This window comes from Homo sapiens, chromosome 2, assembly GCF_000001405.40.
Source record: "Homo sapiens chromosome 2, GRCh38.p14 Primary Assembly".
NCBI classification, from domain to species: Eukaryota; Metazoa; Chordata; class Mammalia; order Primates; family Hominidae; genus Homo; species Homo sapiens.
This window is the reverse complement of record NC_000002.12, coordinates 182202289-182227487: the sequence shown is the minus strand read 5'-3', so window position 1 is coordinate 182227487 and position 25199 is coordinate 182202289. Positions and strand designations below refer to the sequence as shown.

The following is a 25199-nucleotide window of genomic DNA, read 5'->3' as shown; positions in this document are numbered from 1 at the left end:
GAGAAAAATAGTGTCAAACCTCATAAATTCTAGCTAAAAGAATTGTTAATTATGTGTTTTTAGATACACAAGGAATCAAGAAATAAATGTGATTTTCTGACTTGAAATTCTCCCCACCCTTTATATAATACACATACATACTTTGTATAATACACATATTTACTTTTTCTGTCCCACAGGCACACACTCACACATCCTGAGTAATTCAGACATGAAAATTACATTTTAAGTCCTAAGTCAAAACTCTATTAGCTTCTACCCATTCATATACTAAAATTAGCTAGAAATCCTACTTTTGAAACCTTAGAAGCATGTGTTCAGCATATTGCCTTCTTTATGTAATGAATGCTATTGTGATCCGTTGAAAAAATAGAAACTTTGAAATCAGACAGATTTGGGTTTGCATTCCTGCTCTGCCGCTAGATACGTATGTGACCTTTGACATGTTGATCCATTTCTCTAGGATTCAGCTTTGTTTTCTGCAACATAGGCATAAAAATATTTACCTATAACCATCTTATAAAGTGGTTTTAAGAATTAAATGAGATCAGCTAACTAAAGTGTCCAGTTAATGTTAATTCCCTTCCTTTGTTTCTGTTATAATACATGTTATTAATAGCAGTCAATACCTCCTTATAAGTTGATGACTGCCCGCTCTAGAGTAAGCCAACCTGAGCATTTCTGCAGACAAAATACAACCTAAAATTCTGATGAAATACAGTGTTGCATTGCTCATGATTTATCCTCTTAACCCTTTATTTCTGCCTATTAGGAATCAGAAGAACCTTGGATTTGTATTGACCAGTGCTGTAGTTGGGAAGAGTGACAGGATTTAACCTCGTTCTCTCTGGCTTGCCCTCAGGAGTCATTTATAAAATTTATGAATTTAAGCACCTGTTTTCTGAGTTAGAATTCCTTCTGATACCAGCACAAAATGAATCAGCAGCTAAGGAACTAACAATCAGTCCAGAATTCTACTTTTGCTAATGCAAAGTAGATGTGTTTTTAAATTAAGTGTGAAAGTTCAGTGTTTCCTCTCTTCCTATATTAGTTTGTAGTGGAACTTAATGATATAGTCCATAGTGCAGAAATAAGTAAGGGGGATTTGTGGAGAAAGTACTATTTATGGGAGGCAGAAATGAACCAAAGTAAAAACAGGAAATGTATTTATAATAAATTTTCACAGCTAGCAAGATAATAATTGTAAATATTTATGAGTCAATCACTAATTAATTCCATCTCTGATTTTCTAATTTAATTTCTTTTTACTATTGACAGTTTATATTCTGTGTTATCATAGTAGATAATGAATGCTGCCTTTTTTAAAACCACAGCTATATTTATAAATACATAATTTGAACCCACTCAAAAATTTAAATAAGTGGTTTTTTTCCATTTTCTTTAATAAAACAATGGGTTTCTAGGGTACAAAACTAGTTTAACTTCAATTGCTATTCATTTCATGGTGTTTAGTTCCATAGTTTCATTGGGAACATTGGAGGCTCAATCCCAATTCAGACCTCTATAAGGTAACTTTCTTCCTTTTAATGACTCACAATTAAATGTGTCTATGAACACAGAACAGCTAGTTATATTAACTTCTTTTGGCTCTGAAAATTATTTCTGCTTCACTCATCCAGTTGTGAGGCATTTGTACATGAATTACAATCACTAATGATATGTTAGCTATTATTTCCCAGATTTAATGCCTTTATCAATTCATTTAACATAGTAAGTTCCTAGCAAAATGCCATTTATTCTTTATTTTACCATATGACAAGACATGATAGGTGCAGTGCATACATTAACCCAAAACTTCTTTTTAAACCCCATAGGGGAAAGATTACTAATGCCATTTTCACCACAACTGTAGCTAAGAGGGTAAATAACTTATTTTCCTGAGGATTAACAGAGATTTAAAACCAGGACTGATTCCATGGTCTCTTACCACTGTTGCCTCTTTTTAATGCAAAACTACAATTTAACAAACAAATACTAAGTTCCTAATATGTGCCGAATATCATGATAGGTTATGTGAAGGGAGCTAAGATTAATAAGATTATACCTTTGGTACCTATGAGATTCAACAATTGTCACTGCCTTCATTTTTGACTCATGGACCTACAATGGCTTTCTTTTACCTTTTACACAAAATTTAAATTCATCAATTCTCATCAAATTAGTCCATTAACTCTTTCCATACTCTCCATATTCTTCAGTTACACTTCACTTGATTCTCCAACACGATTGTACTATTGACAATTCTATTTTAATACAGACCCTATAGTATGATTCTACATTTGCTCTTTCTATTTGAAATTCTTCTGTCTCCATCCTTGCACTTAACTATCAGCCTTTTTCCAGCCTTTTCCCAAGATCTACTGCCACCAATTAGCCTTTCTCTCTAGGCTCTTAAATTGCATCTTTATTCTGCAAACTTTTATCAAGTGTGCACATAGTTTACATGATCTCTTTCTGTTGTTTTTCGCAAAGTCTTTTATTGTTTTAAGTGTACAGAATAAGACCACTCAGAGTGAGTGTCATAGCATTTTGGATTCCGCATTCGTACCATCAAGTGCCATCTATTTATAGTGTTCTCTAGTAGAACTTGCTGTGGTGATGGAAATGTTTTGTGTCTGTGCTGTTCTGTATGGTAACCACTTGTCACATGTGACCAATGGGCATATGTAATGTGGCTAGTGTAACTGGGAAAGTGAATTTAATTTTACTTAATTTTCTTTATTTTTAACTTAAACAGTCACATGTGGTTACCATATTGGGTAGTACAGTATAAGGGTTTTACAAAATATGAGTGATGAAAAAACTATTGAATTATTTCTAAATGAACTAAAAATAGCAGGGAACTTTTGTTAAAGCATCTAGTTAGTAACTGAAAGATGAATGTATGTAAAGCGGATAGTCATGGATTTTTACATGAAAGCATTTATTCTTTCTTTTAACATTATTGAAGTTAATTGCACAGCCATTTTTATGTGTTATGAATAGAAAAATTTGTGAATTTCAGAAACTTCTAAATCTCTAAACATGAAAATGAAGTGCACTTTCTCTAGTAAGAAAGTGAATATTTTTAATTTTTAGATGAAATTTTTTTTCATAGTAGATTGTTCTACAACACTTGGGCTAAAAGACATTTTAATAATGTATGAGCTGTATGATAAAAATCACCAAACTGTAATTGATTTCAGAAGAACCCAAACATGTATGGCTGTAAATTCAAAATCCAGTTAGGGTTCACCTTTTAAATCATAGAAAACTACTCCTTTTTCAATTAGCAAGGACAATTATATTCTGAATTTTGAACTTATATGCCATGAAACAATCATTGACTTCATGAAGCATCCATCTTGCACAATTAGTGGAGGTAAAATAGGAAACAAATTAAAAGAAATGAAAAATAATTTTATATGATTACATAAACAGGGTGCACTGAAAGTCCTTTTCAAAGAAAGGAAAGATGTTATCTACTTCTTGAATATAATGGATTCTTTCTGTAATTTACTAGCACTGGCTCACTGAACTGGAAATTTTAGCAATGGTCTTTGCTGCTGCCATTCATGATTATGAGCATACAGGGACAACAAACAACTTTCACATTCAGACAAGGTAAGTCTGAAAAAGTATTAACTTTCATTAGTTAAAATTTGAAATTTATTTTTCTGCATATCACTTAAGAGGATTTTTAAAAAATAATAAAGATTCTAATAAGAACAGGTTTAATTAATTTTTAGCAAAATTTCTTAAGCTGCTAACAATTGAATCAATTAACTACTATTTTTTAAGAATCTTGTGTATAGTATTTTGTGGCATATCTAGCAATTTAAAGAACATGAAAATGTTTAAGACAATCTGTCTCTGCCCAGAACTTACACTGTGAACTACCACACAAGTCAGACATCTATTCACTGAGGCAAATCTTGCAACATAATGCTTAAGGTACTGGTTTGGTGTCATTATGTATTTGAAAGTAATACGAGTGTACTTCTGAAAACAAAATCCAAAAATTAAATCTCATTTTCAGGCCAACATGAAGTATTAAATTTAAAATAACTAGAAAATGAAATTATTTGATGATGGTTACAATGGAAGTTATTTAAATCAAATACCAGAGTAGAAGTATGTTAGTCTGTTAGGGCTGCCATAACAAAATACCACAGAATGGGTGGCTTAAACAACATGAATTTATTTTTTCACAATTATGGATGCTAGGAGTACAGGATCACAGTGTCAGCTGGTTTGGTTTCCTCTGAGGTTGCTCTTCTTGACTTACAGACAACACCCTTTTTGCTGTGTCTTCACATGGTCTTTTCTCTGAGCACATGCACCCCAGTGTCTCTTCCTCTTCTTATATGGACACCAGTCATAACGGACTTGGGCCCCACTCTTGTTACTTCATTAACTTTAATTACACCCTTAATAGCCCTGTCTCCAAATACAGACACACTGAGAGTTAGGGCTTCAACACATGAATTTTAGGGCAGACACAATTCAGTCCATAACAGAGAGTTACCCTAACCTCTTTTTAGTTAGGCACAGAAGTCAGTATCTGAGAAGCAGGATTTGGTCTAGGCCCCATCAGGATCCAACTTACTTTACATGTGTGGGATCCTGAAATTTCTCTTTTACTAGTCAGGATGCTTAATAAGGAGATATATGTTAAGAGCTGATGTCTCTCTTGAACCACTGCATAAATCTCCATTCTTGTTGAGGAAAGATTAGATCTGATTTTTTTTTCTAATTAATAGACTTTATTTCTTAGAGCAGTTTTAGATTCACAGAAAAATCGAACAGGAAGTACAGAGTTGCATGAGTTCCATATGCTTCCTCCTGCTACCTTAAAGTTTCGTTGTTATTAACATCTTACACTGGTGTGAGATATTTGTTACAATTGATTAACCAGTATCGATACATTGTTATTAACTAAGTTCCATTGTTTATATGAAGGTTCACTCTTTGCATTATGGGTTCTATGGGTTTTGACAAATGTATAATGTCATGTATCTACCATTGCAGTATCACACACAATAGTTTCACGGCCCTAAAAGTCTCCTGTGCTTCAGCTATCATTCCTCTCTTCCTGCCCCTTTACCCCTGGCAACCACTGGTCTCTTTAATGTCTCTTTAGTTTTGCCTTTTCCAAAATGTCATAGAGCTGAAATAATACAGTATATAATTCTTTCAGACTGGGTTATTTCATTTAGAAGAATGTGTTTAATGTTCCTCCATGTCTTTTCATGGTTGACAGCTTATTTCTTATCACTGAATACTATTCCATTACATGGACATACCATAGTTTGTTTATCTATTCACCTATTAAAGCAAATCTTGGTTGTTTCCAAATTTGGGCACTTATGAATAATACTGATATAAGCATACATGTGCAGGCTCTTGTGTGGTCAGTTCATTTGGTTTTTTAATATATATATATTTTTAACAACTGATTTTCCAGATGTGGGAGTTATTGTTTGATGTGGGGAATATAGAAACAGTTTATTAAAATATTAGACACTTTAGAACTTAAAGGACCCTAAGATGAGTGAGATCCACAGTATAGATCATCTGGTCTGATATCCGTCATCTAAAAATAGAAAATGAAGACCTCGAGAGGTAGAGTGACCTGTCTATATGCACTTGGTCAGGTGATGGCAGTGGCAGAATTGAGGAGTGAGAAAAGGGACACTCACTGTCAATCCAGTTCTTATATAAGTCTGCTCCCACAGCCAGAGATGGACACATGATAATTCCAAGCTGTTAAAGCCTGAAATGGGGTGGGCTTACACATTGTAGCCCCTTGATGGAGACAGAGGAAGAGTTGCAATTCAAACAGTGAAGTGTTGGGGAGGGCATTCTGTCTGTCCCTGGAATGGAGGAAACCCCAGGGTCCCAGAGATTGATACAGTTTGGAGGGAAAAGGAAAACGTCAGAGTCTGGTTATGTAGCAGGAATGTTGTTTTTCTACCCATATTTGCAGAGTATAGGGAGATTTTTGCTTTTATTTGTATTTAATGTCAAAGGAAAACAAGACTATGCAGATCATTTTGCTTAACAAAGGCTCTCTACATCCACTGGATCCACGATGTGGAGGATTTTAATTAAAGATCGCTCATCACTGAGCTGGGCTCTGTACAGGAAAACAGTTCTAGGGGTTTGAGAAGAAAGCAAGTGATTTGTTATCAGTGAATGCCAGTTGCCCTTTCGACTTTGAAAAGTAAAGGCCAGTGGGCTGGCCTCTTCCAGCAGCAGTGTTAGATCATCACTCTAGCTTTCTCCCTTTACTATTCATCTGCAAGTGGATGAAGAGTCCTGATTTACTTATGCATTTGGCTGTGGAGAGGGAGGAGGAGGTGGTGGAGGAAAGGAGGGGGATGACAAGGAAGAGGAGGACAAGAAGGGGTAGATGGGGGCAGAGAAGGAAAAAGAAGAATCATGTTTTTTTCAATTTATATTTTAAAACTCTGTATAAAAATGGGAAAAAATTGTCTAACAGGGTCAACTATTTAATGAATTAATTCTACATGAACTTGAAAATTCCATGAACCAAAATGTTGTAATGACCAAAATGCAACAATATAACATGATTTTTAACTCTCAATATTGCCTTCATCCAAGATGAAATAAGGTCATATGTCATTTATATCACTAATTCTATTTTATTTTATATTATTCATTGTTACTTGGATTGAGAGTGTTTTTTCCAATCTGGAAACTAATTTACTACATAATACAAAATGGCTAAAATGCGATTTGGAACATAGGGCAAGGCTAGATTTGAGTTCAATGCAGATATTATAATGCATGAAATCCTTGAAAGTGTAAATAAATGGAAATAATTTCCTCTTTGTGAAAAGAAAATGCCAGGCTACATGTTACCATGGATACTGGATGTTGCTCAGAGTCTGTTCTTTTCTTAGCAGTCAAAGACCATCTCAAACATTAGACCATGCTGCATTCTCAGCATCCTTGTTAGCTTTATGAGACAAAATCATGCATACTTTGCTACAATTAAATCTGGTTCAAAAACACATTTTAGCTTGTTTCTGAAAGAGTAGATGGTGATGCTTGGAGCCATATCATGTAATAACCCTGACAAATCTGCTATGGCTAGATTTGGTGCCATATAGTGCAAATGTTACTGGAAAATCACAGCTTTCCCCATGATCTCAGCAAACTTCTAGAAATGCACACAGTGTTTTGCTTGGGAAACATCTCTTCAATTATCTCTTCAATGAGAATTATACATGTGCTTTGCTAGTTCATATTTCTGTATATTGAGGTATGATTATTCATTAAATCCTTTTTAGGCCTTAACTAAGATTATTAAATGGAAATCTATTTTAGAAATATGTGCTATTAAAGACATATATTATTTCATCTTTATGATAGTGCTAGAAAAAAAAAGAAAGTAATAGTGCCTGGTAGGTCATTTATCATATGTTGGATGAATAATAAAGCTTGGTTTATCTGGCAGACTATCAGACACAGATCTTAAACAGGCTGCTTGTATAAAATGCCAGATTTCTTTAGTTTTTGTTTTCTCTGTTGTTATTAAATAGTTTTTATTGTGTACATTTATGGTATATAACATGATAAGATACAGATAGTAAAATGATTATTATACAGAAGCAAATTAATATATCCATCATCTCACATAGCTATCCATGTGTGGTGGTGGTGGTGTTGTTTTAGTGGGAACTTTTCATTTTTTATTTTGTCCTTGTCTACTCTATCATAAATATTCAGTGGCAGGGCCAGTGCTAGGTTATAACTAGGACTTTACCCACTGAAAAGCCTGAAACAGTAAGTCTGGAGTGAGGCAGTTTTACACTTGACAGCATTAAGTATCTACCAGGAGATAGGAGAGTGAGAGAAGCCTCGGTGTTGGGTAAGTGGTAGCAAACTTGCTACAAGTTTTAACTTGACTTTCTTTTTTGCTATATTTGTTGTCAATATTCAACTTGCCAACTTATATGAACGAGTTCACCATTTTAAGAGATTGAACATAGTGATTTTGCTTCCATTCCACACTTGCATAATGATCTGGCAACCTAGGAGGATAGAGGAAGGACAAGCCCAGGTTCCATTATACAGATCTGAGAATGCTTGAAATATTTCAGGCTTAAAGTTAGAATACCAAATTCATCAATGCAACTTGAAGTATACCAATTTATTTCATAATAAAATTATATTAAAATACAGACAGGTGAGAAATAAAAGCCTTCCCTTGATGTATTCATCATTTTAAAAATAAAATCTTCCTTTTAAATGGGTGATGAAGCATACATTTTAAGTTTTCTTTAAAAACGACTTTTCTATCTTAATTTTAAAGCAAAAGGATCTATAACAATAAAATTTAATCACATTATAAGAGAGTAAAAAACTAGAATCATAAATAGATCAAATGATTTTCATCATCCCCTTCACCTGCTACCCAAAGTAATTTTAGTTTAAAGGAACAGGGATGGTATCAACACTCTTGAATGGGTACAAAGGGGTTTGTTCATTCACTGACTGAATAAGACGTTAGGTAATTTTATTCACTTTGATATATCTAGAGTATTTTGCAGGTGTCTGGATTACAAATCAGAAGGAAAAGCCATAAACACATTTAAACTATAATAATGATAATTAAAACAACGCTAAGCACCACAACTAAGTGGGGTTTATCCCAGGTATGCAAGTCTGGCTCAACATTCATAATTCAACTAATATAATCTACCACATCAACAGGGTATACAGGAAAAAAATCACATGATCTTATCAATAAATGCAGAAAAAGCATTTTACAAAACATTCCAACCCACGTTTATGATATAAACTCCAACTAGGAATAGAGAGGACCTTCCTTAACTTGATAAAGAATATCTATACTAGAGTAGAATTGTGGTTATGAGGGACTGGGGTGGAGATAAAAGTTAGGAAGATGTTGGTCAAAGGATACATAATTTCAGTTAGATGGGATAAATAAGTTCAAGAGATCTATTGTACAATGTGTCAACTAGAGTTAATAACAATGCATTGTATTCTTTTTTTTCTTGTTTTTTTAATTTTTTATTATACTTTAAGTTTTAGGGAACATGTGCACATTGTGCAGGTTAGTTACATATGTATACATGTGCCATGCTGGTGCACTGCACCCACTAACTCGTCATCTAGCATTAGGTATATCTCCCAATGCTATCCCTCCCCCCTCCCCCGACCCCACAACAGTCCCCAGAGTGTGATGTTCCCCTTCCTGTGTCCATGTGTTCTCATTGTTCAATTCCCACCTATGAGTGAGAATATGCGGTGTTTGGTTTTTTGTTCTTGGGATAGTTTACTGAGAATGATGTTTTCCAATTTCATCCATGTCCCTACAAAGGACATGAACTCATCATTTTTTATGGCTGCATAGTATTCCATGGTGTATATGTGCCACATTTTCTTAATCCAGTCTATCATTGTTGGACATTTGGGTTGGTTCCAAGTCTTTGCTATTGTGAATAGTGCCGCAATAAACATACGTTTGCATGTGTCTTTATAGCAGCATGATTTATAGTCCTTTGGGTATATACCCAGTAATGGGATGGCTGGGTCGAATGGTATTTCCAGTTCTAGATCCCTGAGGAATCTCCACACTGAATTCCACAATGGTTGAACTAGTTTACAGTCCCACCAACAGTGTAAAAGTGTTCCTATTTCTCCACATCCTCTCCAGCACCTGTTGTTTCCTGACTTTTTAATGATCGCCATTCTAACTGGTATGAGATGGTATCTCATTGTGGTTTTGATTTGCATTTCTCTGATGGCCAGTGATGATGAGCATTTTTTCATGTGTTTTTTGGCTGCATAAATGTCTTCTTTTGAGAAGTGTCTGTTCATGTCCTTTGCCCACTTTTTGATGGGGTTGTTTGTTTTTTTCTTGTAAATTTGTTTGAGTTCATTGTAGAGTCTGGATATTAGCCCTTTGTCAGATGAGTAGGTTGCGAAAATTTTCTCCCATTTTGTAGGTTGCCTGTTCACTCTGATGGTAGTTTCTTTTGCTGTGCAGAAGCTCTTTAGTTTAATTAGATCCCATTTGTCAATTTTGTCTTTTGTTGCCATTGCTTTTGGTGTTTTAGACATGAAGTCCTTGCCCATGCCTATGTCCTGAATGGTAATGCCTAGGTTTTCTTCTAGGGTTTTTATGGTTTTAGGTCTAACATTTAAGTCTTTAATCCATCTTGAATTGATTTTTGTATAAGGTATAAGGAAGGGATCCAGTTTCAGCTTTCTACATATGGCTAGCCAGTTTTCCCAGCACCATTTATTAAATAGGGAATCCTTTCCCCATTGCTTGTTTTTCTCAGGTTTGTCAAAGATCAGATAGTTGTAGATATGCGGCATTATTTCTGAGGGCTGTGTTCTGTTCCATTGATCTATATCTCTGTTTTGGTACCAGTACCATGCTGTTTTGGTTACTGTAGCCTTGTAGTATAGTTTGAAGTCAGGTAGTGTGATGCCTCCAGCTTTGTTCTTTTGGCTTAGGATTGACTTGGCGATGCGGGCTCTTTTTTGGTTCCATATGAACTTTAAAGTAGTTTTTTCCAATTCTGTGAAGAAAGTCATTGGTAGCTTGATGGGGATGGCATTGAATCTGTAAATTACCTTGGGCAGTATGGCCATTTTCATGATATTGATTCTTCCTACCCATGAGCATGGAATGTTCTTCCATTTGTTTGTATCCTCTTTTATTTCCTTGAGCAGTGGTTTGTAGTTCTCCTTGAAGAGGTCCTTCACATCCCTTGTAAGTTGGATTCCTAGGTATTTTATTCTCTTTGAAGCAATTGTGAATGGGAGTTCACTCATGATTTGGCTCTCTGTTTGTCTGTTGTTGGTGTATAAGAATGCTTGTGATTTTTGTACATTGATTTTGTATCCTGAGACTTTGCTGAAGTTGCTTATCAGCTTAAGGAGATTTTGGGCTGAGACAATGGGGTTTTCTAGATATACAATCATGTCGTCTGCAAACAGGGACAATTTGACTTCCTCTTTTCCTAATTGAATACCCTTTATTTCCTTCTCCTGCCTAATTGCCCTGGCCAGAACTTCCAACACTATGTTGAATAGGAGTGGTGAGAGAGGGCATCCCTGTCTTGTGCCAGTTTTCAAAGGGAATGCTTCCAGTTTTTGCCCATTCAGTATGATATTGGCTGTGGGTTTGTCATAGATAGCTCTTACTATTTTGAAATATGTCCCATCAATACCTAATTTATGGAGAGTTTTTAGCATGAAGGGTTGTTGAATTTTGTCAAAGGCTTTTTCTGCATCTATTGAGATAATCATGTGGTTTTTGTCTTTGGCTCTGTTTATATGCCGGATTACATTTATTGATTTGCGTATATTGAACCAGCCTTGCATCCCAGGGATGAAGCCCACTTGATCATGGTGGATAAGCTTTTTGATGTGCTGCTGGATTCGGTTTGCCAGTATTTTATTGAGGATTTTTGCATCAATGTTCATCAAGGATATTGGTCTAAAATTCTCTTTTTTTGTTGTGTCTCTGCCTGGCTTTGGTATCAGAATGATGCTAGCCTCATAAAATGAGTTAGGGAGGATTCCCTCTTTTTCTATTGATTGGAATAGTTTCAGAAGGAATGGTACCAGTTCCTCCTTGTACCTCTGGTAGAATTCGGCTGTGAATCCATCTGGTCCTGGACTCTTTTTGGTTGGTAAGCTATTGATTATTGCCACAATTTCAGATCCTGTTATTGGTCTATTCAGAGATTCAACTTCTTCCTGGTTTAGTCTTGGGAGAGTGTATGTGTCGAGGAATTTATCCATTTCTTCTAGATTTTCTAGTTTATTTGCGTAGAGGTGTTTGTAGTATTCTCTGATGGTAGTTTGTATTTCTTTGGAATCGGTGGTGATATCCCCTTTATCATTTTTTATTGCGTCTATTAGATTCTTCTCTCTTTTTTTCTTTATTAGTCTTGCTAGCGGTCTGTCAATTTTGTTGATCCTTTCAAAAAACCAGCTCCTGGATTCATTAATTTTTTGAAGGGTTTTTTATGTCTCTATTTCCTTCAGTTCTGCTCTGATCTTAGTTATTTCTTGCCTTCTGCTAGCTTTTGAATGCGTTTGCTCTTGCTTTTCTAGTTCTTTTAATTGTGAGGTTAGGGTGTCAATTTTGGATCTTTCCTGCTTTCTCTTGTGGGCATTTAGTGCTATAAATTTCCCTCTACACACTGCTTTGAATGCGTCCCAGAGATTCTGGTATGTTGTGTCTTTGTTCTCGTTGGTTTCAAAGAACATCTTTATTTCTGCCTTCATTTCGTTATGTACCCAGTAGTCATTCAGGAGCAGGTTGTTCAGTTTCCATGTAGTTGAGCGGTTTTGAGTGAGATTCTTAATCCTGAGTTCTAGTTTGATTGCACTGTGGTCTGAGAGATAGTTTGTTATCATTTCTGTTCTTTTACATTTGCTGAGGAGAGCTTTACTTCCCAGTATGTGGTCAATTTTGGAATAGGTGTGGTGTGGTGCTGAAAAAAATGTATATTCTGTTGATTTGGGGTGGAGAGTTCTGTAGATGTCTATTAGGTCTGCTTGGTGCAGAGCTGAGTTCAATTCCTGGGTATCCTTGTTGACTTTCTGTCTCGTTGATCTGTCTAATGTTGACAGTGGGGTGTTAAAGTCTCCCATTATTAATGTGTGGGAGTCTAAGTCTCTTTGTAGGTCACTCAGGACTTGCTTTATGAAACTGGATGCTCCTGTATTGGGTGCATATATATTTAGGATAGTTAGCTCTTCTTGTTGAATTGATCCCTTTACCATTATGTAATGGCCTTCTTTGTCTCTTTTGATCTTTGTTGGTTTAAAGTCTGTTTTATCAGAGAGTAGGATTGCAACCCCTGCCTTTTTTTGTTTTCCATTGGCTTGGTAGATCTTCCTCCATCCTTTTATTTTGAGCCTATGTGTGTCTCTGCATGTGAGATGGGTTTCCTGAATACCTCACACTGATGGGTCTTGACTCTTTATCCAATTTGCCAGTCTGTGTCTTTTCATTGGAGCATTTAGTCCATTTACATTTAAAGTTAATATTGTTATGTGTGAATTTGATCCTGTCATTATGATGTTGGCTGGTTATTTTGCTCGTTAGTTGATGCAGTTTCTTCCTAGTCTCGATGGTCTTTACAATTTGGCATGATTTTGCAGTGGCTGGTACTGGTTGTTCCTTTCCATGTTTAGTGCTTCCTTCAGGAGCTCTTTTAGGGCAGGCCTGGTGGTGACAAAATCTCTCAGCATTTGCTTGTCTGTAAAGTATTTTATTTCTCCTTCGCTTATGAAGCTTAGTTTGGCTGGATATGAAATTCTGGGTTGAAAATTCTTTTAAGAATGTTGAATATTGGCCCCCACTCTCTTCTGGCTTGTAGGGTTTCTGCCGAGAGATCCGCTGTTAGTCTGATGGGCTTCCCTTTGAGGGTAACCCGACCTTTCTCTCTGGCTGCCCTTAACATTTTTTTCTTCATTTCAACTTTGGTGACTCTGACAATTATGTGTCTTGGAGTTGCTCTTCTCGAGGAGTATCTTTGTGGCGTTCTCTGTATTTCCTGAATGTGAACGTTGGCCTGCCTTGCTAGATTGGGGAAGTTCTCCTGGATAATATCCTGCAGAGTGTTTTCCAACTTGGTTCCATTCTCCCCGTCACTTTCAGGTACACCAATCAGACGTAGATTTGGTCTTTTCACATAGTCCCATATTTCTTGGAGGCTTTGCTCGTTTCTTTTTATTCTTTTTTCTCTAAACTTCCCTTCTCGCTTCATTTCATTCATTTCATCTTCCATCGCTGATACCCTTTCTTCCAGTTGATCACATCGGCTCCTGAGGCTTCTGCATTCTTCACGTAGTTCTCGAGCCTTGGTTTTCAGCTCCATCAGCTCCTTTAAGCACTTCTCTGTATTGGTTATTCTAGTTATACATTCTTCTAAATTTTTTTTCAAAGTTTTCAACTTCTTTGCCTTTGGTTTGAATGTCCTCCCGTAGCTCAGAGTAATTTGATCGTCTGAAGCCTTCTTCTCTCAGCTTGTCAAAGTCATTCTCCATCCAGCTTTGTTCCGTTGCTGGTGAGGAACTGCGTTCCTTTGGAGGAGGAGAGGCGCTCTGCTTTTTAGAGTTTCCAGTTTTTCTGTTCTGTTTTTTCCCCATCTTTGTGGTTTTATCTACTTTTGGTCTTTGATGATGGTGATGTACAGATGGGTTTTTGGTGTGGATGTCCTTTCTGTTTGTTAGTCTTCCTTCTAACAGACAGGACCCTCAGCTGCAGGTCTGTTGGAATACCCTGCCGTGTGAGGTGTCAGTCTGCCCCTGCTGGGGGGTGCCTCCCAGTTAGGCTGCTCGGGGGTCAGGGGTCAGGGACCCACTTGAGGAGGCAGTCTGCCCGTTCTCAGATCTCCAGCTGCATGCTGGGAGAACCACTGCTCTCTTCAAAGCTGTCAGACAGGGACATTTAAGTCTGCAGAGGTTACTGCTGTCTTTTTGTTTGTCTGTGCCCTGCCCCCAGAGGTGGGGCCTACAGAGGCAGGCAGGCCTCCTTGAGCTGTGGTGGGCTCCACCCAGTTCGAGCTTCCCGGCTGCTTTGTTTACCTAATCAAGGCTGGGCAATGGCAGGCGCCCCTCCCCTGGCCTCCCTGCCGCCTTGCAGTTTGATCTCAGACTGCTGTGCTAGCAATCAGCGAGACTCTGTGGGCATAGGACCCTCCGAGCCAGGTGCGGGATATAATCTCGTGGTGCGCCATTTTTTAAGCCCGTCAGAAAAGCGCAGTATTCGGGTGGGAGTGACCCAATTTTCCAGGTGCCGTCCATCACCCCTTTCTTTGACTCGGAAAGGGAACTCCCTGACCCCTTGCGCTTCCCAAGTGAGGCAATGCCTCGCCCTGCTTCGGCTTGCGCACGGTGCGCGCACCCACTGACCTGTGCCCACTGTCTGGCACTCCCTACTGAGATGAACCCGGTACCTCAGATGGAAATGCAGAAATCACCGTCTTCTGCGTCGCTCACGCTGGGAGCTGTAGACCGGAGCTGTTCCTATTCTGCCATCTTGGCTCCTCCCCAATGTATTGTATTCTAAAAGATTGCCAAGAGTAGATTTTAAGTGTTCTCACCTCAAAAAATGGTAAATTGTGAAGTAACACATATGTTAATTAGCCTGAGTTAGCCATTCCACTATGTGTGTGTGTGTATATATATATAAATGTATACATATATATATATAGAAAGATATATATGTTTCAAGACATTATCTCGTACGTAATATATATAATTTTAATTGTCAATTAAAAAGTAAATAATTCAAAGAAAATTATCTATTTATAAAAAACCTACAACTAACATCATACTTAATGGTGAAAAAGTTGAAGCTTTCCCACTAAGATTGTGAACAAGGGAAGATGTCCCCTCTCACAACTAATTTTTGTATCATACTGGAAGTATGCAATACTAATGCAATACAACTAGAAAAAGGAATTTCTCTCTTCCCATGAATCTTGGGAAGAGAGAAATAAAATTATCTTTGTTTGCAGATGATATGATTGTCCATGTAGAAAATCTGGAAGAATTGACCAAAAAACTCCTGGAACTAAGTGATTATAGCAGGGTTGCAAAATACAAGGTTAATACACAAAACTCGATTGCTTTTCTATATGCCAGCAATAAACAAATGTAATTTGAAATTGGAAACACAAATATCATTTGCATTAGCACCACTCAAAATTAAATATTTAGGTATAAATGGAACAAAACATATACAAGACCTTTATAAGAAAAACTGTAAAACTTTGATGAAATAAGTAATACAGGGACAGATATTTCATGTTCATAGATAGACTCAAAATTGTCAGGATGTCAGTTCTTCGCAACTTCATCTATAGATATAATCCAATCCCAATGAAAATACCAGCAAGTTATTTTATGATTCTGACAAAGTGATTCTAAAGTTTGTATGGAGAGGCAAAAGACTCATAATAGCTAACACAGTTTTAAAGGAGAAGCACAAAGTTGGAGGACTGACACTACCTAACTTTAAGACTTGCTACAAAACCACAGTAATCAAGACAGTGTAGTATTGATAAAAGGACAGACAAATAGATCAATGAAAAAGAGTAGAGAGCCCAGTAATGAACCTACAAAAAATATAGTCAACTGATCTTTGACAAAGGAGTAAAAGCAATACAGTGAAGCAAAAATAATCTTTTCAATAAATGGTGCTAACACGACTGAACATCCACATGCAAAAGCAAAAAGCAAAGAAGAATCTAGACACAAACTGCTATGGTTTGAATGTGTTTCCCAGAATTCATGTGTTGCAAACATAACTCCCAATGTGACAGGGTTGGAAGGTATTGAGGTCAGGAGTGTTCTATCCTGATAAATAAATTAATGCCATTATAAAATGGGGCTTGCCAGAGAGGGTTTGCTCTCTTGCACTCTCTGCCTTTCTACTATGTGATGCTTTCCACCATTTGATGATACAGCAAGAAGGCCCTCCTGAGATGATGGTATGTTGATCTTTGACTTTCCAGTTAAGAACTGTGATAAATAAATTTCTTTTTTTTTTTTGATAAATTACCCAGCCTCAGGTATTCTGTCACATCAGCATAAAACACACTAAGACACAGGCCTTATACCCTTTACAAAATTAACTCAAAATGGATCACAGACCTAAATTTAAAACAAAAATCTATAAAATTCCTAGAAGATTACATAGAAGAAAAATCTAGATGACCTTAGATTTGGTGATGACTTTTTAAATATAATATCAAAGGCACAATATATGAAATAATAAATTGATAAGTTGGATTTCATTAAAATTAAAAATTTATGCTCTACCAAAGACACTATCAAGAGACTAAAAAGACAAGCCACAGACTGGAAGAAAATATTTGCAAAGAACATCTGATAAAGCACTGTTATCCAAAATATACAAAGAATGCTTAAAACTCAACAATAAGAAAACTAACAACCTAATTTAAAAATGAACCAAAAACTTTACCAGTCACTCCAGCTAGGAAGATATACAAATGGCAAATAGGCATATGAAAAGATATTCCATATCATGTCATCAGAGAAATCCAAATTGAAACAATGAGATACCAAATAGATCAATAGGCAATACACATCTATTAAAATGGCCAAAATCCATAACACTAACAACACCAAAAGCTGGTGAGAATGGAGCAGCAGGAACTCTCATTTATTGCTAGTAGGCATGAAAACTGGTATAGCCATTTTGGAAGACAGTTTACCAATTTATTACAAAATTGAAACTACTCTTACCATATGATCCATGAATTGCACTCCTTGGTATTTACTCAAAAAAATTACAAACACATTCACACAAAAACTTATAGCACAGATACTTATAGCAGCTTTATTCATAATTGCCAAAACTTGGAAGCCAGCAAGATGTCCTTCAGTAGGTGACTGAATAAATAAACTGTGGTATATGCAGACAAGAAAACTTGAGTGCTGCAAGGAAATTAGCTATCAATCGGTGAAAAGACATGAAGGAAACATGAATGCATATTACTGAGTGAAAGGAACCAATTGTATTATCTTCTTCTCACACTGCTATAAAAAGCTGGCAGAGAATGGATAACTTATAAAGAAAAGAGGTTCAATTGACTCATAGTTCCAGATGCCATACAGAAGGCATGGCTGGTGAGGCTGGGAGGCCTCAGGAAACTTACAGTCGTGGCAGAAGGGCGAAGGGGAAGCAAGCATATTTTCACATGGTGGCAAGAGAGGGAGTGAAGGGGGAAGTGCTGCACACTTTTCAGCAACCAGATCTTATGAGAACTCACTCATTATCATGAGAACAGCAAGCGGGATACTCACCCCCATGATCTAGTCACCTCCTACCAGGTCCCTCTACCAGTACTGGAGATTACAATTCAATATGAGATTTGGGCGGGGGACACAGATCCAAACCATATCAAATAATATGCTTGGCTCTGTGTCCCCCACCCAAATCTCATGTTGAATTGTAATCAACATTTGGCTCATAATATGGTTTGGCTCTGTGTCTCTCATCCAAATCTCATGTTGAATTGTAATCCCATAATTCCCATGTGTTGTGGGAGAGACCCAGTGGGAGATAATTGAATCATGGGGGTGGTTTCCCCCATACTGTTCTCGTGATAGTGAATAAGTCTCACGAGATTTGATGGTTGGATAAGGGGAAATCTGTTTCACTTGGTTCTCATTCTCTCTCTTGCGGCCACCATGTGAGACTTGCCTTTCACCTTCCACCATGATTGTGAGGCCTCTCCCCAGCCATGTGGAACTGTAAGTCCAATAAACCTCTTTCTTTTGTAAATTGCCCAGTCCTGGGTATGTCTTTATCAGCAGCTTGAAAATGGACTAATAATACATTATTCCACTTCTGGCCCCTCCTGAATCACATGTCCTTCTCATATTTCAAAAAACCAATCATGCCTTCCCAACAGTCCCCAAAAGTCTTAACTCACTCCAGCATTAACTCAAAAGTCCAACTCCAAAGCCTCATGTGAGACAAGGCAAGTCCCTTCCACCTATGAGCTTGTAAAATGAAAAACAAGTTAGTTACTTCCGAGATATAATGGGGTTACAGGCATTGGGTAAATGCTCCTATTCCGAAAGGGAGAAATTGGCCCAAACAAAGGGACTGTAGGCCCCATGCAAGTCTGAACCCCAGCAGGGCAGTTATTTAATCTTAAAGACCCCAAATAATCTTTTTGACTCCATGTCTCATATTCAGGGTATGCTGATGCAGGGGGTGTGCTCCTACGGCCTTGGGCACTCCACCTCTGTTGCTCTGCAGGGTACAGCCCCCATGGCTGCTTTCACTGGCTGGCGTCCAGTGCCTGTGGCTTTTCCATGTGCACAGTGCAAGCTGTCGGTAGATTTACCATTCTGGAGTCTGAAAGACAGTGGCTGATATGGTTTGGCTCCGTGTCCCCACCAAATCTCATCTCAGATTGTAATCCCCATGTTTTGAGGGAGGGACCTGTTGGGAGGTAACTGGATCATAGGGACAGCTTCTCCCATGCTGTTCTCATAATAGTGAGGGAATTCTCATGAGATCTGATGGTTTAAAAGTGGCAGCATCCCCCCTGCACTCTCTCTCTCCTGCTGCCATTTAAGATGTGCCTTGCTTCCCCCTTTGCCTTCCATCATGATTGTAAGTTTCCTGAGGCCCCTGCCCCCACCAGCCATGCAGAACTGTAAGTCAATTAAACCTCTTTCCTTTATAAATTACCCAGCCTCAGGTACTATCTTTATGACATTGTGAAAATGGACTAATACAGTAGCCCTCTTCTCACAGCCCCACTAGGCAGTGCCCCAGTGAGGACTATGGGGACTCTAACCCCACATTTCCCCTCCACACTGCCCTACTAGAGGTTCTCCATGAGGCCTCTGCCCCTGCAGCAGACTTCTTCCTGGATATTCAGGCATTTCCATACATCCTCCAAAATCTAGGCAAAGGCTCCCAAGCCTCAATTACTACTGTCTGCATACCTACAGGCCTAATACCATGTAGAAGCCACCAAGGCTTGGGGCTTTCACCCTCTGAAGCAATGGCCTGAGCTGTACCTTGTCCTCTTTCAGCCACGACTGGAGCTAGAGCAGCTGGGATGCAGGGCACAATGTCCAGGATGCGTGCACAGAGCAGTGGAGGCCATAGGCCTGGCCCATGAATCCATTTTTCCCTGCTAGGCCTTCAGGCTTGTGATAGGAGGGGCTGCCATGAAGGTCTCTGAAATGCCCTGGAGACATCTTCCCCATTGTCTGGGCTATTAACATTAGGTTTCTCTTTACGTATGCAAATTTTTGCAGCCTTGAATTCCTCCCCAGAAAATGGGTTTTTCTTTTCTACCTCATGGTCAGGCTGCAACTATTTTAAACTTTTATGCTCTGCTTCTCTTTTAAATATAAGTTCCAGTTTCAGGTAATTTCTTTCTTTATGCAAATGAGCATAGGCTTTTACAAACAGCCAAACCACATCTTGAACACTTTGCTGCTTAGACATTGCTTTCACCGGATACCCTAAATCATCTCTCTCAAGTTCAAAATTCCACAGATTTCTAGAGCAGGGGCACAATGCCATCAGTCTTTTTGCTAAAGCATAGCCAGAGTGACTTTTACTCAAATAAGTACTCAAATACTCAGAGTCCCAAATAAGTTCCTCGTCTCTACCTAAGACCTCCTTATCTCTACCTAAGACGTCCTCAACCTAGTCTTCACTGTCTGTATCACTATCAGTATTTTGGTCACAGCCATTCAACAAGTCTGTATGAAGTTCCAGACTTTCCCATATCTTCCTCTTTTTCTGAGCCCTCCAAACTGTTTCAACCTCTGCCCATTACCCAGTTCCAAAGTTGCTTCCACATTTTTAGGTATCTTTATAGCAATACCCCACGCTCAGTACCAATTTTCTGTATTAGTCCATTCTCATACTGCTATAAAGAACTACCTGAGACTCAGTAACATATCAAGAAAAGAGGTTTGATTAACTCACAGTTCCACAGGCCATCCAGGAGGCATGGCTGGGAGTCCTCAGGAAACTTACAATCATGATGGTAGGGTGAAGAGGAAGTAAGCACATCTTCACATGGTGGCAGGAGAGAGTGCGAAGAAGAAAGTGCTACAGGCTTTTAAACCACCAGATCTCATGAGAACTAACTCACTATCACAAGAACAGCATGGGGGAAGTCTGCCCCCAAGATCCAATCACCTCCCACCAGGTCCCTCCCCTAACACTGGAGATTACAATTCAACATAAGATTTGGGTAGGGACACAGAGCCAAACCATATCAGCAACATACTGTATGATTCCATCTACATAACATTTTGAAGAAGGCAAAACTATGGAGACAGTGAAAAAAATCAGTGGTTGCCAGGGTTAGGGGAGAGAAAGGGATGAAGAGGTGGAGCACAGAGGGATTTGGGGCAGAGAAACTACTCTGTATGGTACTATAATAGTAGATACATGTCATTATTCACTTGTCTAAACGCATAGAATGTACAACACCAAGAGTGAAGCCTAATGTAAACTGTGGACATTGGATGATAATGATGTGTCTATGTAGGTTCATCAATTGTAACAAAAATACCACTCTTGTTGGGGATGTTGACAATGGGGGAGGTTACGCATGTGTGGTAGAAGAAAGTACATGGGAAATTTTGTACCAACTTCCATTTTGCTGTGAGCCTAAAACTTCTCTAATAGAGTTTATATAAAATTTTAAAATATCATACAGTAAAAAATAAAAGAAACTAAGTACTTCCATAATTCTCACTGTTCAATTATAGGATGTTTTCTGGTCACATGACTTGATACTTGAGTAAGTCTTATTAGACATTCATGATGTCTAAAGAAATCCTCTGTTGGGCATTTTGTTTTTAATTCTTAGGTCAGATGTTGCCATTTTGTATAATGATCGCTCTGTCCTTGAGAATCACCACGTGAGTGCAGCTTATCGACTTATGCAAGAAGAAGAAATGAATATCTTGATAAATTTATCCAAAGATGACTGGAGGTGAGTTTCAGAGAAAACCTAGAGGAAATTTAATTTCAGGAAAGGAATAAATTATGCGATTTAAAGTCAAGAAAAAAGATGAAAGTCGATGCATTCCCCAAATTACAAACTTAATTACTGTCGACTGGATGACTCTGAGAAGGATTAGTACTTAGGGACTTTGTTCAGAGCCAGACTGTGTTAAAGGGACCTGAAGTATTTCCAGGTCAACTCAACATCCATATGTCTGAATAAGACCACACACAACACAACAAATAATTTTATATACATAATTACACACTCTCTGGAATGGAGCTCTGCTCAATTTTTATCAATATGGGGTGTTACATAAATTCAAAATTTTGGCATTATATTCATTCTTTCATATATTTTTTTTAAAAGATGTGGAGTTAAGGTTTTTTTAAAAACAAAAAGTTAAACGTGGGAAAAAAATTCCAATATACTAAAATGACCCAAGTGCAGAGGAAATCTTACATGTTTCTCCAAAGCATCTGTTTGCTTGAAAAAAATTACATGGTATATTGATACTTGTTGCTATGTAGGGAAAAATAACAAGATGTACCCCCATCCCTCTTATAACCTTTCTTCTCTTTTTCTTGATCCTTTGGTCATTATCATCTCCTTCAATTGACAATAGGGTTGCTGGACTTCACAAATAAAAGTAAAGGACAATCAATTAAATATGAACTTCATTAATCATAGAATCTTCTTAGTATATGTCCCTAATATTCTATGGGACTCTCTTATAGTAAGAACAGAAAAAGGCCTGTATTTATCTTTAACAACAATCTTATTAAAAGTCATTTAATTGACTAGAAAAGGTTTCCAATTGAATGTAAATATCAAAGGTTTTTGCTTTCATTTTTGTTTTTTTAAATCAAGGTAAAAAGAAATATCCAAAAGGAAAGTGACAATAAAAACATTAAAAAACGTAAAAGATAAAAATCAGAGTTTAAAATAAGCCTAAATCTCCTGTGAACACTTTTTCAAATTTTCAAAGTTTCCTGGTTCTTCAAGGCCATATCTAGAGATATGGGCTCATTTTTGCAACTCTAGAAAATGCTGTCAGGTAGAGGGAAGGTGGAACTTTCTTTTGGAGACACAGTTCAGGCCTTTCATTTTACAGTTGACCCTTGAACAATACAGGGGTTGGGGCACCCCCATTCAACTGAAAACCCATGTATACCTTTTGACACTTCAAAAACTTAACTACTAATAGCCCACTCTGGATAGGAAGCCTTACCAATAATATAAAAGTTGATAAATACATAATTTGTATGTTATTTGTATTACATACAATATTACTACAATAAAGTAACTAGAGAGAAGAAAATGTTATTAAGAAAATCATAAAGAATAGAAAATATATTTACTGTTTATTAAGTGGAAGTGGGTCATCAAAAAGGCCTTCATCCTCTGTCTTTATGTGGAGTGGGCTGAGGAGGAGAATGGAAGAGGAGGGATTGGTTTTGCTTCTCAGGTGTGACAGAGGGGAAAAAATATGTGTACGAGTGGTCCCACACAGTTCAAACTTATGTTGTTCAAGGGTTAACTGTATTCTGCAGGAAATAGTAGCCCAAGAGGATTTACAGTCTAGAAATGCCAGGATCTAACTGTGAAATAATTTTAAAGAGACCACTGTTGGGCTATGTAGCGATTAGATGGGCAAAGGTAGGAACAAGCAGACAAGTTCTGAGATATTTCCTAAAGCCTAAGAGAGATTATTTACATCTAGGGTATTAGTTTATTTTCTTAATCAGTGATTACCATTCCCATAGATAATTTTTATAATATTAATTTGTTGTTATTCAAAGAAATAAACATTTTTTCCTCAAAGTTCACTTTGTTGCTATTTCAGTGTGATTTTATTTCCTATTATATTTTGTTATTTACCATTTTAAATATTTTATTCTAATAGTTTATTGCTGTAATTGTCTAAGTTTCTGTTTGGTAACTTCAGAGTCATTTTAATTGAATGTTTTTAAAGAATTGTTTTAACAAATAGTGTACATATTATATACATTTTAGAATTTAATAGATTCAACACTTTCCAAAAATCTATAAAATACCTATTTGATGCTATACGTTTGATAACATTTTACTAAGAATTAAAATATGGATATCTTCTTAAAGACTGATGTTTTCTGTTTACATATCTGTTTATTTCTTAAAGTACTTTTAGTAAAAATAAATGCATTAATTTAAAAGTTTTCACAAGAAAATTTTATAAATTAAGTAATGTTTTCTTATTTTGCCTAATTATTGACATATTATTAGTTGGTTATTGATAACATCTAGCATTTACTGATCATTTATATGCAAAGCACAATATACTTATTAGATTCTATTGATTTCCTTAAACTCTAATCTCATTTTCCTTAGCAAACATAAATGTTCTTATTCAGTTGCTTTTCAAATATGGGTCTTGTCATATTTTCAGCGAAAAAAATGTAATTGAGAATAATTTTATTAATAGCTTCCTTTCCCTTACTACTTGAATAAAAGTAAGTAAGCAGAGTATTGATTCTCATGGCTTCTATCTAAAAATTCAATAGAAATGTTGAGTGCTCATGATTTTCAGCAAGAACCATCAATATGTAGTTTTGTTTTGTTTTTTTTTCAGACGGAGTCTTGCTCTGTAGCCCAGGCTGGAGTGCAGTGGTGCAATCTCGGCTCACTGCAAGCTCTGTCTCCTGAGTTCATGACATTCTCCTGCCTCAGCCTCCCGAGTAGCTGGGACTACAGGTGCCCGCCACCAGGGCTGGCTAATTTTTTTTTTTGTATTTTTAGTAGAGACGGGGTTTCACCGTGTTAGCCAGGATGGTCTCGATCTCCTGACCTCGTGATCCACCCGCCTCGGCCTCCCAAAGTGCTGGGATTACAGGCGTGAGCCACCATGCCCAGCCAATATATAGTTTTTTTAAAAAGGCAATTAAATAGATTATATCATCTTTAAGTAAAGTATCTTTGTGCAAGATCGTAATTCAAGTTTCCTTCACACTTTTGGTTCAGCTTATCCTACTGGCCACACCACACAATGAAAATGAAATATGTTTTCCAGTACAAGTGACTTTTTTAACTTATCTGTATAGAGCAAACAAGGAATTGTGGAACATGCAAGGCTTTGCTGGGGTGCCTTATTTTCTACTAAGTGTGAGGCTTTGTGACATGGTTATTGTATTTACAGTGCCTTGGTTAAAATAGTCAGTAATACCAATGGCTCTCTTTATGTTAGGGAGGGTCAGATCCCAAAAGCTTAAACAGAAAATCACTACTCACTTTAGCATCTTGGTTTCTCTGGGGTTCTTATGATGGAAGCTTGGCACAGAGGAGTGGTCCATGTGTCTGCTTTGGAAGTGGGACCTCTTGCGTTGAATCTTATCTGAGCCATGTACCAGCTGTGTGACTGGGTGACTCAGTCTCCTTTGGGGGGAAATATTAATGCTCCCTCAGGATTGTTAGGAGGATTAAATGTCTTTGTATACATACAAAGCAACTAGTTGCTAAAGTATTTTATTATCGGTATTATATGAAGACATTTAATCCTTACAGTTCAGTGCCTTGCTGAATAAATACTGAATGAATAGCACTGGTTTTATTAATAGTAGTCGTTTTGATTAAAAATGCAAAATGAAGAAGAATCAGATAGGG

The 25199-nt window shown here is 37.2% G+C and overlaps 1 protein-coding gene across 25 annotated transcripts in view; it reads left to right on the top strand.

Annotated features, from left to right (window-relative positions):
• PDE1A (phosphodiesterase 1A) overlaps positions 1-25199 on the top strand; it is a 576757-nt gene that overhangs the window by 489310 nt on the left and 62248 nt on the right. For all 25 annotated transcript variants that reach the window (XR_007076388.1, XM_047444688.1, NM_001395258.2 and 22 more), the window contains 2 exons: positions 3524-3624; positions 21423-21548. Coding sequence is in view for 24 of the 25 variants with exons in the window: in XM_047444688.1 (XP_047300644.1) it covers positions 3524-3624; positions 21423-21548 (227 nt within the window). In the remaining variant the exon portion in view is untranslated. The remainder of the gene's footprint in view (positions 1-3523; positions 3625-21422; positions 21549-25199) is intronic.